Source organism: Homo sapiens, chromosome 2 (assembly GCF_000001405.40).
Source record: "Homo sapiens chromosome 2, GRCh38.p14 Primary Assembly".
In the NCBI taxonomy this organism is placed as follows: Eukaryota; Metazoa; Chordata; class Mammalia; order Primates; family Hominidae; genus Homo; species Homo sapiens.
The window spans coordinates 91836246-91853153 of NC_000002.12; the positions used below are offsets into that span (position 1 = coordinate 91836246).

At 51.0% G+C, this 16908-nt stretch overlaps 1 pseudogene, besides 2 other annotated features; it reads left to right on the forward strand.

Annotated features, from left to right (window-relative positions):
* Nucleotides 4362–7766, forward strand: ABCD1P5 (ATP binding cassette subfamily D member 1 pseudogene 5; annotated as a pseudogene).
* Nucleotides 15535–16035: an enhancer, noted in NCBI's record as "H3K27ac hESC enhancer chr2:92039806-92040306 (GRCh37/hg19 assembly coordinates)". NCBI's record gives its function as "activates a minimal SCP1, AML or CMV promoter by ChIP-STARR-seq in naive H9 embryonic stem cells {active_cell/tissue: H9 hESC(naive)}" and the evidence as "EXISTENCE:reporter gene assay evidence [ECO:0000049][PMID:30033119]".
* Nucleotides 16036–16536: an enhancer, noted in NCBI's record as "H3K27ac hESC enhancer chr2:92040307-92040807 (GRCh37/hg19 assembly coordinates)". NCBI's record gives its function as "activates a minimal SCP1, AML or CMV promoter by ChIP-STARR-seq in naive H9 embryonic stem cells {active_cell/tissue: H9 hESC(naive)}" and the evidence as "EXISTENCE:reporter gene assay evidence [ECO:0000049][PMID:30033119]".

The following is a 16908-nucleotide window of genomic DNA, read 5'->3' on the forward strand; positions in this document are numbered from 1 at the left end:
CAATAATAAACAAACAAAAAATCTGATTGAAAAATGGGCTACTGAAGAGGCTGAGGTAGGAGGATTTCTTTTTTTTTTTTTTTTTTTTTTTAAGATGGAGTCTCGCTGTCGCCCAGGTTGGAGTGCAGTGGCACGATCTCGGCTCACTGCATGCTCTGCTCCCCCGGGGCTCACGCCATTCTCCTGCCTCAGCCTCTTGAGTAGCTGGGACTACAGGCGCCCGGCGCCAAGCCCGGCTAATTTTTTGTATTTTTAGTAGAGACGGGGTTTCACCGTGTTAGCCAGGATGGTCTCGATCTCCTGACCTCGTGATCCGCCAGCCTCGGCCTCCCAAAGTGCTGGGAATACAGGCGTGAGCCACCGCGCCCGGTCAGGAGGATTTCTTAATCCCAGGAGTTTGAGGTTACAGTGAGCTATGATTATGCTACTGCCCTTTAGCTTGGGTGACAAAGCAAGACCTTGCTTCTAAAAAAATAATAGTTAAAAATATATAAATAAATACAATTTAAAAATGGGCAGAAGATCTGAACAGATATTTTCTCAAAAGAAGACATACAAATGGCCAATAGGAAGATGAAAGAATGTTCAATATCACTAATCGTCAAAGAAATGCAAATCAAAATCACAATGCAATATCATCTCACCTTGGTTGAAATGACTTGTTTCAGAAAGACAGGCAATAACAGATGCTGGCAAGGATGTGGAGAAAGGGAAATACTAGTACACTGTTGGTGGGAATCCACATTAATAAAGCCACTATGGAGAACAGTATGGAGGTTCCTCAAAAAAGTAAAAATAGAACTACCATGTGGTCCAGCAATTTCTTTACTGGATATATATCCAAAATAAAGGAAATTAATGTATCAAAGACATGTCTACATGCCGATGTGTACTGCAGCACTATTCACAATAGACAAAATATGGAATCAATGTAAGCGCTCATCAACAAATGAATAGATTTTAAAAGTCATATATATACATAATGGAATTCTACTCAGATACAAAGAAGAATGAAATTCTGTCATTCGCAGCAACATAGGTGGCGCTGGCCATTTGGCTTAACGTAATGAACATAGGCCATTATGTTAAGTGGAATGAGCCAAGCACAGAAAGGCAAATACCACATGTTGTCACTCATATGTGGGCAGTAAAAAAGTGGATCTCATGAAGATAGAAAGTAAATTGGTGGTTGCTAGAGGCCAGCAAGGGGAGTGGGAAGAGGAGATTAAGAGAAGAAAATATAAATGTATTTATCACCACTAAACTGTCCTCTAAAAATGTACAGATGGTAAATTATATATATATTTTTTAACTCAATAAAAAGTTAAAAAAAATTCTGCTGTGTGTTTATAGGGCACATGTACGAGACTTTCTCTAGGGTTGTATCAGTTTTCTATTCCTGCTGTGACAATTTACCACAAATTCAGTGGCTTAAAAGAACACATTTTTGTAAGATTTGAGTCAGTTTTAAAAAACACACACAAACTTATTGTCTTAGAATTGTTTTGGTTGGAAATCTGGCATGGCTCTCACTGAAATAACATCAAGATGTTGGCAGGCTGCATTTCTTTCTGAAGGCTCTAAAAGAGCATCTGGGTTGTTGGCAGAATTCAGTTCCTTGTGGTTGTAGATCCTCAGTTTCTTCCTGGTTGTAAACTTTGGGTCATTCCCAGCTTCTAAAGGTCACTGGCTTTCCTTGGCTTGTGGCCCCCTACCACTGTTTTAAAAGCCAGTAATAGCAGGCCACATCTTTCTCATACTGCCATCTGTCTGAATCTCAGCATCCAGAAAATATTCTCTGCTCTCAAGGAATTATGAGATTGGCTCACCAAGGTAATTCAAGGTAATTTCCCCATTTCAATGCCCTTAATGGTAATCACATCTGCCAAGTCCCTTTGAACATGCTAACTTACGTTAGCATGTTCACCTTATCTGAAGACTGGGATGTGGCTGTCTTTGGTGGGGGGCAATTATTCTGCCTAACCCAAAGATACACAACTTGCAGATATACAACTAGTTCATGGAGATGAAACATTTTCAAATCTACAAGAAAATGTTTTCTAAAATGAGCATTTCATATTAGACTTTCACGAGCACTGTATCAGAATTATATTTACTTCATAATGTTGCCAATACTGATATCAGGTATTTAATTTTCTAGCCAGTTCAGGATAATGTGAATTGTGAATAATATATTTGTTCATTCAGTCAACAAACATGTTTTATCAGATACCACCGATATGCTGGTCAGTGTCATGGATCCTAAAAATATAGCTGTTATTATTATTTTTTTAAACAAAGTCCCCACTGTGATAAAGCTTTTATTCTTTGGGACAGGCAGACAGTAATCCAGATAAATAAATGCAAGGGCAAATTGGGGGAAAAATTGGAATGGAGAGCTCAGAATCTGGCCCCAGAGAAGGGCAGAGGGAAAGGGGACCCAGTTCAGACTCTCGGTGCGTCCACATCAAACAATTCCATGAGGGCTGAGGAGACACAGCTGAAAGGCTTGTCTGACATCACAACAGACAGAAAAGTGAGCCCCATTTTCATCTCTATCCTGACAATGTTCCTGGCTTGATTTCCTCCTTCCAGCAGACACAAGAATCAGGGAGCGCACCCTGATGGTAACATTTTTGTCAGGGGCCTATTTTGGGGATCCTGGTGAGAACCTGAGTCCGTCACTGTCCACGGCAGCCCAGCATGGTCCCCAGTGCGTAGGCCAAGGCCAAGATTCTCTACCTCCATCCTGGAGGCAGAAGAAATGTCTGGGGGAAAATGAGAGGTTTTAGGTGGTTGGCACTGGGTGAGACCAAGGAGAAATTTTAAAGCTGTGTGTCCTGGGGCCGGGGGCGGTGGCTCACGCCTGTAATCCCAGCACTTTGAGAGGCCGAGGTGGGCAGATCACGAGGTCAGGAGATTGAGACCATCCTGGCTAACGGTGAAACCCCGTCTCTACTAAAAATACAAAAAATTAGCCGGGCTTGGTGGCGGGCACCTGTAGTCCCAGCTACTCGGGAGACTGAGGCAGGAGAATGGCATGAACCGGGAGGCCCAGCTTGCAGTGAGCTAAGATCGCGCCACTGCACTCCAGCCTGGGTGACAGAAAGAGACTCCTTCTCAAAAAATAAACTAAAATAAAATAAAAATAGAAAATAGAAAAAGCTGTGTGTCCTTTGTTTCTTCATATTTTGCAGATTTTTGATGTCAAAATATTTTCATAGTCAAAAGAGTGTTAATAAAGAATGACTTCTCTGTTATAAAAACCCTAATAGTGAATGTATTTACCAAGAAGTTAGATTCTGTCTTTGGTTTTTTGTTTTTTGCCCCGTAGTTTTTTAAAAATAGTTTTATTGTATGGATATTCTACAGTTGGTGTATCTATTCAACACTTGATGGACATTTGGTTTGCTTCCAGTTGTTTTTGCTATTTCAAATAAAGTTGCTACGAATGTTTGTCCAATAGTTTGGACATACGCTTTCATTTGTCTTGGGCAAATAAGCAGGATTTGAATGACTAGGTGGTGTGATATGTTTAACTTTTTTTTTTTTTTTTGAGACGTAGTCTCGCTTTTTTCCCCCCGCCGCCGTGGCTTTTTGCCCGCCTCGGCTTTTTGCCCTCCCCTCCTCAGGTGCCGTGGTTATTTGCCCACCAGGGCTTTTTGCACCCCCGCCGCGCGGCTTTTTGACGCCAGCCGCCATGGCTTTTTACCCCCCGCCGCCGCGGCTTTCTGCCCGCCCCGGCTTTTTGCACCCCCGCCGCGGCTTTTTGCCCCCTGCCGCCGCGGCTTTTTGCCGGCCATGGCTTTTTGCCCCCCCCGCCACTGCGGCTTTTTGCCCCTCTGCCGCCGCGGCTTTTTGTCGCAGCGGCTTTTTGCCCGCTCTGGCTTTTTGCCCCCACTGCCCCGCTGCCTCGGCTTTTTGCACACCCGCCGCCGTGGCTTTTTGTCCGCGGCGGCTTTTTGCCCGCCACGGCTTTTTGACTCCCCGCTGCTGCGGCTTTTTCCCCGCCGTGGCTTTTTACCCCCTGCCCCCACGGCTTTTTACCGGCCGCGGCTTTTTGCCCCCACCCTGCCTCGGGTTTTTGCCCCGCCGCGGCTTTTTGCCCCCGCCGCCCCGGATTTTTGCTGCTGCGGCTTTTTCCCCCGCCGCCTTTGCAGCCTTAATTTCACTTGAAATCTAATTTCCCACTGCCATGCCACCTAACATATTTGTATGTTAGACTCTGGGAATTAGGACATGAACATTTTTCGGGGGCCATTATTTTGTCTACAGCAGACAGAATCTACACTGCCTGGGAGGCACAGAGTATCTTGGGGGAGGCAGGGCCAGCCCTTCCCTCCGTGGACACCCAGCTTTCCCACAGGCCCTACATGTCTGTGGGTTCCTTGTGTGACCAGGTGATCTACCCGGACTCAGTGGAGGGCATGCGAAGGAAGGGCTACCCGGAGCAGGACCTGGAAGCCATCCTGGACATCGTGCACCTGCACCACATCCTGCAGTGGGAGGGAGGTAGGAGGCCTGGGGCTGGCAGCCGCCCTTTGTCCCACCCTGGCCTCTCCCTTGGCCTCCAGGGAGTGAAGATTATCTCAATATCCAGGAGTCTAAAGTGCCAGGTGCCACAGGGGCAGGGCAGAGGGTGCTACCTCTGAGGCCTGCCTACCAGGGAGGACCAACAACACACAGATGGCCCCAGGTGGCATGGGTGCTCTAGGGAAGGGGGCACCTAGCAGGGATGCGCACCTCATTGGGGTACCCAGGATACCCTCTCCCAGAGAAAAGGAGTCTGAGCTGAGCCCTGCAGAATGCTGAGTGGTTACCCCGTCCAGGAGCCAGGGGCAGCAGGGCAGAGTGCGGCCCGCAGGCTTGGTGGTGTGAGAGGCTGGCTCACAGAGGGCCCTCCGGACCAGGCGGGAGCCTAGGCTTTCCCTGAGCGGGATCAGACGCTCTTGGAAGGACCATGGGGCGGTGGGCAGGGGCAGCCTGGGAGGGGCAGGAACATGTGTGCAGTGATGGCTACTGTCAGGAGGTCTGTGCAGACGCTTGGAGGGGGCTGGGGCCAGCAGAGTCAGGTGGATTCAGAGATGAGTTCACTGAAAAGGAGGCCAGACTGAGCTGTTTTCTTGTCCTGGGCTTATCAAGGAATACTGCTTGTCCACAGTGGCTGTCGGGCCAGGAGAGCGGAGGAGGAGAGGGGGGTGCAGCTACAGGGACACAGTAGATGGAGCGTTCAGTTCTGTCTTTGAATTCTGAGCCTCTGGGTTCTGCTTCCAGCCCCCACTGCTGGGTGTGAGATGGTCCTGGGCAAGGACCTCGCCTTGCTGGGGCTCCCCTTCATGTTTCAAGGGCATGGGCACCAAGCCCTCCCTCGGTGGCAACATAAGAAGAAGTGGCTCCCACAGGAAATGACCAGGGTGTTGTCATCTGCCTGTGGAGGAAGCGGGAACACAGGTGGCGATGGTGGTGGAGCAGCCCCTGGCCCGACCCTGCCTCTTGCTCCTGCTGCCCTCGGCCTGGGAGCACATGGCCCCTCCCGCCTCTGTGGCAGCCTGAATGCCCAGGGCCTGTGGCCAGCCAGCATGAGCCATTAGGATGGAGTTGAGCTGCGAGGAACAGAACCAGCCTCCCCGCAGTAGTGGCTAAGATCATCTGTGAGTTTATCCTACTGAGCTGTTAGATCCCAAGAGAGCCAGGCCACAGTTGCCAGGGCTGGCCCTGCTCTATGAAGGCCCCGAGGCTCTAGGATTTTCTACCATGTCACTCTGCTGTGTGTGGCCTCCATTCCCAAAGTCACCTCATGATCCAGGAGGGCTGCTGCAGCCCTCACCTCATGTCCCAGGCTGTAGGATGGAGGAAGTAGAAGGAAAGGGGCAAAAGGTATGTGTCTTCTATCTTTTAAGGAAGGTTCCAGAAGCCGCCATATTGAATACTTACAGTTATATCTCATTGGCCACAACTTAGTTTCATGCTCACACCTCACCACAAGGCCACCTGGGAAGCGTAATCTCTACTCTGGGTGGCCATATACCCTGTCGCCACTTCTAGCCCTGGGCCGCTGGGGAAGGCAGCATGGGCGAGAAGACAGGAGGGGCCACTTCTGCCGCAGTGCCCCGGCCTAATGGAGCAGCCGGCTCACCTGCTCCTTCAAGCAGCCCACTCGAGCCTTACCAAAGTGCTGGCACGGGGCAGTGACAGGAGGCCCAACCCCTGTGGGTGACAAGCCCCTGGTCTGGGGAGAGAACTCAGGCCGCTCTGGAGCTCTGTGCCAAGGAGCTGTATGGGTGTCCTGGGGCTGCCATAAACCGCAGGGGTGGATCATCTCCTGGATCCAGCAGTCCGAGATCCTGGTACCAGCAGGGTGGGTTCCTTCCAGGTGCCATGACAGAAGGATGTGTTCCAGGCCTCTGTCCTCGGCTCACAGATGGTCCACTTCTCCCTGTATATCTTCACCTCGTGTTCCCCTGTGCACGTCCTCTGCCCGCACACCCCCTTTTTATGAGGACACAGTCATATTGAATTAGGGTCCGCTCTGATGACCTTATCTTAGTGTGATCACCTCTGCGAAGGCCCTGTCTCCAAATAAGGTCACACTGAAGTGTTGGGGCTTGGACTTCACCATATCTCTTCTGGGGGAAGGCACGATTCCAGTCCCCACTCCTCCATGATTAATACCTGTCAGACAGACAAGGACGCAGAGGCACAGGGGCCCTGTCGTCACAGCTAGCTCATTCCCGCAGCTCCCCCAGCTCCCCGGCTGGACCCCAGGTCTGGGTACTGGTGGAACTGAGCCAAGACCATTGCCCCTGCCTAGGTTGGGAGGCTATGTGTGACTGGAAAGATGTCCTGCCGGGTGGCGAGAAGCAGAGAATCGGCATGGCCCGCATGTTCTACCACAGGTGAGCACTCCGGGCCGGCAGGCTCCCTGGGGTCCCCTGGAAGGAGAAGTAGCAGCTGTGGGGAGGCCTGGGCTCAGTGGAGCCTGAGCCGGACTGGGGTGTTGGGCCCTGGAGGGTGCACAGACTCTCCTCTCGGCCCGGACCCCCAGGCCCAAGTACGCCCTCCTGGATGAATGCACCAGTGCTGTGAGCATCGACGTGGAAGGCAAGATCTTCCAGGCGGCCAAGGACGCAGGCATTGCCCTGCTCTCCATCACCCACCAGCCCTCCTGTGGTAGGTGCCCTGTCTCCCTGCCTGGGGTCAGTGGGAGTGGCTGCCTGAGGGGAGGAGGTGGCCTGTTGGGCCAGGCGGCAGCAGCAGGCGGCTGTCATCAGCAGCCCTCGTGCCATGCCCCTGACCCTGTCCCTCTCCTGGCCAGGGAGTACCACACACACTTGCTACAGTTCGATGGGGAGGGTGGCTGGAAGTTCGAGAAGCTAGGCTCGGCTGCCCGCCTGAGCCTGACAGAGGAGAAGCAGCGGCTGGAGCAGCAGCTGGCGGGCATTCCCAAGATGCAGCGGCACCTCCAGGAGCTCTGCCAAATCCTGGGCGAGGCCGTGGCCCCAGCGCACGTGCCGGCACCTAGCCCGCAAGGCCCTGGTGGCCTCCAGGGTGCCTCCACCTGACGCCACCCTCCCCAGCCCCTGCCCCGCCCCCAAGCTCGAATCACATGAAGGAGACGGCAGCACCCACCTGCGCACGCACCCCGCCCCTGCATGCCTGACCCCTCGTCCTAGAAGACGCTTCCCGACCTCGGGAAAGTAGATGTGGAGGGTGGCGCCTTGCGTAACCCTCGCCCTGTCCCTCCCACTCCCTGGGGGGGCTGTTCCACAGTGACTGGGCCCTGTCCAGGGCAGTGAGTCCTCTACTTTGCTCCGTGGAGGAAGCTGGGGTACAAGGGGCCCAGTGCTGGCCACACAGCAGCGCAGCCGAGCCCCAGGAGCCCCTCAGGCCACAGCCCCTGGCGCTGCAGGTGGCCTCCCTCCTCGTCAGTCTCTCAAAGACCCCACGGTCCATCCCCTGAGGGTGGCCAGCCAAGGCTCCCATCCCATGCGATGCTATAAAAGCCGCCCAGTGGTACCCACGGTCACACAGAGCGCCTCACCTGCATCCTCTCCTCCACAAGAGCCCCGAAGATCCCACGGGAGAGGGACGCACAGCATTGCCTGCGGAGCGAGAATGTAGGCCCCGCCCCCTCGGCCCCTCACCTTCTCTTTCTACAGCCTAATTTATTGGATTCCCTATTCGTAGCCATCTCCGTGGCCAATGTGACTACCCTGCCAGCAGCGGGGGCGGCCCAGCCTCTGAGTCCCCTGGGGTCCCGGCTCCCACCGGTGCCAAACCCAGCCCCTGTGGCCGTCACCCCGCCAGCCTACATTGCCAGCCGCCACCTGGCCACACGGGCTTCTGCTTGCTAGCTGGGAGTGCGGACACCATGTTCCCAGCTCAGTGCCAAACAGGGGTCACCAGGGGGAGCCGTCTGCAGAGCCAGCGCCTGCCCGAGAGACCCCACCGCCACTGTGTGCCTTTCCCAGGCCCTCAGCCCTCAGGCCGGGCGCCATCCCGAGTCCCCCCAGTAAAAGCCTCCATTGGCAAATGCAGTCCTTCCTCCCTGCCTCAGAGTGTAGTGGTGTCTGCTGCGGGTCTTGGGGAGAGATGGAGGAGAGGGAGTGGGTTGCCTGTGGGGGAAAGAGTGAGTTTGGGAAATGAGTGGGCCTGACCCCCAAGCCCCTCTGTGGGGGAAAGTCACCAGAAGACATGGTCCAACATGCCCTCCACCGAGCCTCACGCCCATGCTCTTAGGATTCCTGTGACGGTGGTGGGGCAGAACCTGCAACAACATTGCACAGAAATACTGGCTGAGCCCAAATAGGACTAGGGGCGGGGATCATGCTGGTCCCTGTGGGAGGAGCACGAAGGCAAGAGAAGGGATGTCTAAGCTGCCACACAGGGTGTTGCTGGCCCGTCTAGAGAGAGGAGGCCACTTGTGCAGGGGCTTGGGGGGAACTGGGAGCACAGTGCAGGGTGTTAGTGCTGCATACAGGGGGAAGGGAGGGCACGGGAAGGGAGGGCTGTGGCTGGCGGGCCTTGGAGGCCACACTACAGAGACAGGACTTAGCCCAGAGGCCACCGAGGAGCTTTCAGCAACAGGGAAGCAGTGTCGAGTACTGCAGGCCAAGTGGCTGCATGTGAGGGTGGCTGGTGGGAATAGGGTGCGGCAGCCCATCTGGCCTCAGAGGCATGAGAACTGAGAACAGCTGTGCGGCCATACCTTTATGCATGGATGGCCATAGCCTCCCAAAGGTGGGACAGCCTGAGTGTTCATCAACAGACAAATGGACAAACAGCCTGTGCATAAGGCGCGGTGCCATTCCACCGTAACACGACGGATAGACCTCAAAGAGTTCGTGCTGGGTGAAAGAAGCCAGACACAAATGTCCAGAATAGGCTCATCGGGACAGAAAGCAGATGAGTGGGTGTCAGGGGCTGGGGCAGGGGAAGGAAAATGGGGCAGGGGCAGTCCTTTTTAAAAAATTTTGTATTTATTTTTTATTTTTTAATGAGACAGACAGGGTCTCACCCTGTCACCCAGGCTGGAGTGCAGTGGCGCAGTCATAACTCACTGCAGCCTTGATCTCCCGGGCTCAAGCAATCCTGCCCCAGTCTCCTGAGTAGCTGGAACCACAGGCGTGTGCCACCATACCCTGCTAATTTTGTGAAATTTTTTTTGTAGACAGGATCACACTATGTTGCCCAGGCTGGTCTCAAACTGTTGAGCTCAAGCGATCGTCCTGCCTCAACCTCCCACAGTGCTGGATTACAGGCATGAGCCACCACACCCAGCCTCGGGTTTCTTTTTATTTCGAAGAAAATGTTCTGGAACTATAGAGCATACTAAATGCCACTGAATTGTGCACTTTAAAGGGATTGATTGTATATTTTGGGAATATCGCCTCAAAAACAGATAGATGATTGATGGATAAATTGATACATAGATATATAGATATATAGACATGATATAGATAATTGATCGATAGATGATGGATGATTCATAGGTGCTAAGTGATACATAAAATACATGATAGATACATGGATAGATAGATGAATAGAGAGAGATGATAGATGATTTAAAAAATTTTTTTAGAGATGAGATCTCACTATCTTGCCCAGTCTGGACTTGATCTGCTAGCATCAAGCAGTCCTCCTGCCTCAGCCTCCTGAGTTACTGGGACTACAGGCACCTGCTACTGTGCCTGGTGATAGATAAATTATTGAAAGATAGACATGATAGAGGCATAAATGATAGATAGATTGATAGATATGATAACGGGTAGATAGGAAGATACATGGGATAGATCAATGATTGATTATAGAAGTAAATGATATAGATTAATAGATTATTGATTATAGATTAATAGGTGGATAGCTGATTGATAGATGATTGATCGATTGATTGCTTGACTGATTGATGGAGAGAGACAGAGAAGCAAGCATAGCCATTGCAGCCACTCAGACAAGACATACTGAGGCCTGGAGTTCCAGAAGGTTCGAGCAGTTGGAAGAACTTGACAGGCATGGGGGCAGCTTCTTCAGGGAGTGGAGGGGGCAGCAAGGTACCACCGGGTTCTGGTTGGAAGGTTAGGTGAGCGACAGCACCCTTGGTGGACAGAGGCAGCTCCAAAGGAGGGGAAGGCCTGGGGAGCAGGTGCAGCCCGAGGGGATGGTGGGTAGGCAGTTGGTTCAGAGCTTGGGGCTCCTCAGTGGGACATGGGTCAGCAGGGAGGCCAGTGGTCATTGAAATTTGGATGGAGACAACCTGGCTGAGGGGAGGGGCATGCTTGGCATCTCATTTAGGGGACAGGAGGTAGACTGTTTACCTGTATTTTGAGATTAGGATTTATTCCTGATCCCAGGAGGTGGCCGATTCGGAGGGCTGGGAGTTGTTCCTCCATTTCTGACGATTGTGTAAGTTGCCCATGCTTGATCATAAACCCCTTTTGTTAATTTTTGACACATAGCTGGAATGGCTCTAATTACTAGAGATAGAAGGAGACACATCTGGCAAAGACCATCCAAAAGGAAGCTAGTGGAGAGAAGCTCATATCACACAAAGTAGGCTCCAGGGCAAAATCATTATTAGGATAAAAAGTGGTTGCAGCATACTGATGAGTATTCATTCCAAAGCATTCACTGGTGGGGGAGGGGTGGGGAAAAAGAATAAATACATAAATAATTTAATTATTTTAAAAGAAGTATTAGCGGCCAGGCATGGTGGCTCATGCCTGTAATCCCAGCATTTTGAGAGGCCAAGGCAGGCAGATCACCTGAGGTCAGGAGTTCGAGACCAGCCTGAACAATATGGTGAAACCCCATCTCTACTGCAGTACAAAATTAGCCAGGCATGGTGGCTCATGCCTGTAGTCCCAGCTACTAGAGAGGCTGAGGCAGAACTGCTTGAACCTGGGAGGTGAAGGTTGCAGTGAGCCAAGATCATCCCATTGCACTCCAGCCTGGGCGACAGGAAAAAAAAAAAAGCATTAGCCATTCTGATCTTGTGTGCACCTGCATAATGATAGAGCCTCAAATGACTACAAAACAAAAAAGTGTCAAGAAAAGGAAAAATTAATAAATGAGCACATTCTCCACGCAGGAAATTATACCACTTGTCACTGGAACTGCTGGTTTAAGCAGACTCAATTAGGAAGAACATAGAAAAATTGGGCCAGGCATAGTGTTTCATGCTTGTGATCCCAACACTTTGGGAGGTGAAGGCAGTCAGATTACTTGAGGTCGGGAGTTTGAGACCAGCTTGGCCAACATGCGGAAACTAAAATAAAAAATACAAAAATGAGCCAGATGTGGTGGCTCATGCCTGTAATCCCAGCTACTCGGGTGGCTAAGGCAGGAGAATCACTTGAACTTGAGGTTTCAGTGAGCTGAGATCGTGCCCCTGCACTCCAGCCTGGGCAACAGAGTGAGACTCTGTCAAAATATAAAAATAAAAAAAAAGAATATGAAAAAGTTGAACAAACTTGATTTAGTGGACACCCAAAAACTACAGACCACACATTGTTTTCAAGTTCACCTTGGACATTTACTAACACTCACCATGTCCTAGGCTGCAAAACAAGACTCAACAAATAGCAAAAGAACATGCATCACACCAGCCATTTTCTTGATGCAACAGAATAAAGGCATAAATTGGCAACCAAACTAAAATTAAGGGCTCCCCTATGTTTGGAAATTTAAAGATACACTACTGGCCAGGCACGGTGGCTCACATCTATAATCCCAGAGCTTCGGGAGGCCAAGGCAGGAGGATCCCTTGAGCCCAGGAGTTCAAGACCAGCCTGGGCAACATAGTGAGACCCCCCCATCTCTATAAAACTAAATTAAATTATTTTTTAAATTAAAAAAATAAAAAATAATGCACTGGTCCGAGAAGAATTAGAATGAAAATCTAAAAGCATTTAGAACCGAACAATGAAAACTATGTACAAAACTTAAGCCATGTAGCCCAAGCAGTACTACAAGGAAATTAAAAAAAAAAAAATAGTGTGGCCAGGCGCGGTGGCTCACGCCTGTAATCCCAACACCTCAGGAGGCCAAGACGAGCGGATCACCTGAGGTCAGGAGTTAGAGACCATCCTGGCCAACATTACGAAACCCCATCTCTAATAAAAATACAAAAATTAGCTGGGCATGGTGGTGAGCACCTGTAATCCCAGCTACCTGGGAGGCTGAGGCAGGAGAATTGCTTGAAACTGGAAGGTGGAGGTCGCATTGAGCCGAGATCGTACCGCTGCACTCCAGCCTGGGCGAGAAGAGTGAAACTCCACCTCAAAAAAAAAAAGTGTAAAAAATAGAAATAATATTATGAAGTACAGAGGGATCTCCCTGCAGGCACCACTGGGAGCTGAAACATCAGAGGCACCTGGGGGGTGAAAGACATGAGTGGGAACAACTTCAGCCCTTGCTTCTCCTCCAAACACCGCTAAAAGGAATGCGAAGGGATTGCAGATGTAAAAGGGAAGAGTTCACAGCAGAGAGTGAGAGGAGCGCCTGCCAGGAACATCACAGAAGCTGGAAAACAAGTGGGGGAGTGATAACTGATTCAAGGGATCAGCGTGAACTTGGAAAAAAGTGGTGGGAAGCACCAAGGGCACGTGCCTACAGAGGTTACCACCCAGAAGAGAGGCCTTGGAAGAAACCAACCCTGCTGGCACCATGATCCTGGGCTTCCAAGCTGCAGGACTGTCAGACCATTACGGTGTTGGACCGACACTGTAAAGAAAGAAGTAGTGATAGCACACATGGTTGTCTTGCTCCAGTTCTAAAAGGGGGAAGGATGCCAGATGTGGTGGTCTCCAGAAGGCCCTTCCATGTTTCTCTGTGGCACCCGCAGTGCCTGGATGTCAGCACTGGGAGAAACCGCCTCCAGATTCATCTGTAAAATCCGAGCATCAGTGAGCTCAACTCTCCCGCTTTCTCAGCTCTCTGTTTCCATTAGGTTTGGTTGATCTGGGTCAGGGCCAGCATCAGAGGTAAACCCAAAGCTGTTCTCTGTGGACTGACCTCTTCTCCCTTCGTTTACATGTCTGCCATGTCCACTGGCCTGTGAGCTTCAGGAGACAAAGGAGCATGTTTCTTCTTCCTGATACCCCCGAAATTTGCACAGTACATGCTATAAAATGCAGATTCAATGAGGGCTCTTTGCATTACAATTTTGAGAAAGAATCATGAACCATGATTTAGCGTCTCTTCCCATCAAAACCCAGGCCCATAGAGCAATTGCCTTTACCTGTGACACACACCTCCTACCTGTCCTCCCCGCAGCCCGGCATCTCTGTCCTGCAGACCAAACACAAAACTCATTGCCATCCCTCTTCAACCTGGCTTCCTTTCTGACTTCCCTTCAGGTGCCCCAGGCAGAATCATGGGGATCATCTGACCCTCTGTCTCCCTCATCCTTCCCTATCCCACGAGCCCGTGTCCTACTGACTCAGTCCTTAAAGTCCCTCTGGCTCCCCACCGGATCCTCAGTGTCTGGTACTACGGTGCCTGACGTGGGAGGTACACAGCGACCACTAGATGAATACAAGAATGATGTGATTGGCCAGGTGCAGTGGCTCATGCCTGTAATCCCAGCACTTTGGGAGGCCGAGGCAGGCGGATCACGAGGTCAGGAGATTGAGACCATCCTGGCTAACAGGGTGAAACCCCGTATCTACTAAAAATACAATTCTGGTCATGCGCAGGTACTATTCATCAAGAAAGTTATTACAACTTCAGAAATGTGTTCAAAATGTATCCATACTTTGACATATTAATGAAGTAATCACATTCTACACAAAACTACTCCATATGGAATATTGGGGAGGGGGTGTTCCAAATAAAGAGACTGAGGATTTCTCATGAGAACTCAGTGTCTGCTAGAAAATATCTAAGTAAAATATTCTACTTATGCAGAAAGTGTGGATGTTTGTGCATCAAAAGTTTCAAGAATCCCTAAAATGTACAATGGAGATGAGGAGAAAATATCAGAATTTCCTAGCACCAGAAATGAGGCAAGAAAAAATTCAGAGGATTTGTAAATGTGAAAAGCCAATGGCTGGTCACACAGCAACATTGATAACCTTGTGCCAGGACAACTAGAATAAATACATAAACATACAGATTGAAAATATTTCCAATATTAGATCTCCCTCATGTGAGAACTAAATTATAAAGATTGAAGCATATAAGAAAATAAGCTACCAGAATTTAGGCTACCAGAATAAATTCGATTACACATAAATTTCTGACACTGAAATTGTCACAAATGTTTAAGTTGGTAGTGGAAGACAAAGGACATATAATCTTGGGAGTCCTAGGGCCCTGCCCACTGCCAGTACCTCCATGCTACTACAGCTGATGCTTTCCGGAAAGCACCACCTCCTGGCAGTAGGCCAACCAGCACAAATATAGAGCATTAAACCACTAAGGCTAAGGACCCTCACAGAGTCTACTGCACCCTTCATCACATCCACTGGAACAGGCGCTGGTATCCATGGCTGAGAGAACCATAGATGGTTCACATCACAGGGCTCTATGCAGACAACCCCTAGTACCAGCCCAAAGCCAGGTAGACCTGCTGGGTGGCTAGACCCAGAAGAGAGACAACAATCAATGCACTTCAGCTCACAGGAAGCCATGACCATAGGAAAAGGGGGAGAGTACTACATCAAGGGAACACTCCGTGCGACAAGAGTCTGAACAACAGTCTTCAGCCCTAGACCTTTCCTCTGACAGTGTCTACCAAAATGAGAAGGAACCAGAAAACCAACCCCGGTAATCTGACAAAACAAGACTCTTCAACACCCCCCAAAGAATCACACCAGTTCATCACCAATGGATCCAAACAAAGAAGAAATCACTGATTTATCTGAAAAAGAATTCAGGTTAGTTATTAAACTAATCAGGGAGGGGCCAGAGAAAGGTGAAGCCCAATGCCAGAAAATCCAAAAAATAATACAATAAGTGAAGGGAGAAACATTCAAGGAAATAGATAGCTTAAATTAAAAAAAAAATCAGGGCCCCGCCGCCCCATCTGGGATGTGAGGAGCGCCTCTGCCCGGCCACCCCATCTGAGAAGTGAGGAGCCCCTCCGCCCGGCAGCTACCCCGTCTGAGAAGTCAGGAGCCTCTCCGCCTGGCAGCCACCCCATCTGGGAAGTGAGGAGCGTCTCCGCCTGGCAGTCACCCTGTCCGGGAGGGAGGTGGGGGGGGTCAGCCCCCCGCCCGGGCAGCCGCCCCATCTGGGAGGGAGGTGGGGGTCAGCCCCCCACCCGGCCAGCCGCCCCGTCCGGGAGGGAGGTGGGGGAGTCAGCCCCCCGCCCGGCCAGCCGCCCTGTCCGGGAGGGAGGTGGGGGGGTCAGTCCCCCACCCGCCAGCCGCCCCGTCCGGGAGGGAGGTGGGGGTGTCAGCCCCCCACCTGGCCAGCCGCCCCGTCTGGGACGTGAGGGGTGCCTCTGCCCGGCTGCCCCTACTGGGAAGTGAGGAGCCCCTCTGCCCGGCCAGCCGCCCCATCCGGGAGGGAGGTGGGGGGGTCAGCCCCCCGCCCGGCCAGCCGCCCTGTCCGGGAGGGAGGTGGGCGGGTCAGCCCCCCGCCCAGCCAGCCGCCCCGTCCGGGAGAGAGGTGGGCGGGTCAGCCCCCCGCCCGGCCAGCTGCCCCGTCTGGGAGGTGAGGGGCGCCTCTGCCCGGCCGCCCCTACTGGGAAGTGAGGAGCCCCTCTGCCCGGCCACCACCCCATCTGGGAGGTGTGCCCAACAGCTCATTGAGAACGGGCCAGGATGACAATGGTGGCTTTGTGGAATAGAAAGGTGGGAAAGGGGGGGAAAAGATTGAGAAATCGGATGGTTGCCGTGTCTGTGTAGAAAGAAGTAGACATGGGAGACTTTTCATTTTGTTCTGCACTAAGAAAAATTCTTCTGCCTTGGGATCTTGTTGATCTGTGACCTTACCCCCAACCTTGTGCTCTCTGAAACGCTGTGTCCACTCAGGGTTAAATGGATTAAGGGCGGTGCAAGATGTGCTTTGTTAAACAGATGCTTGAAGGCAGCATGCTCGTTAAGAGTCATCACCACTCCCTAATCTCAAGTAATCAGGGACACAAACACTGCGGAAGGCCGCAGGGTCCTCTACCTAGGAAAACCGGAGACCTTTGTTCACTTGTTTATCTGCTGACCTTCCCTCCACGATTGTCCCATGACCCTGCCAAATCCCCCTCTGTGAGAAACACCCAAGTATTATCAAAAAAAAAAAAAAAAAAAAAAAATCAGGAAACTTTGGACACACTTTTAGAAATGTGAAATGCTCTGGAAAGTCTCAGCAATAGAATTGAACAAGTAGAAGAAAGAAATTCAGAATTCGAAGACAAGTTCTTTGATTTAACCCAATCCAATAAAGACAAAGAAAAAAGAATAAGAAAAT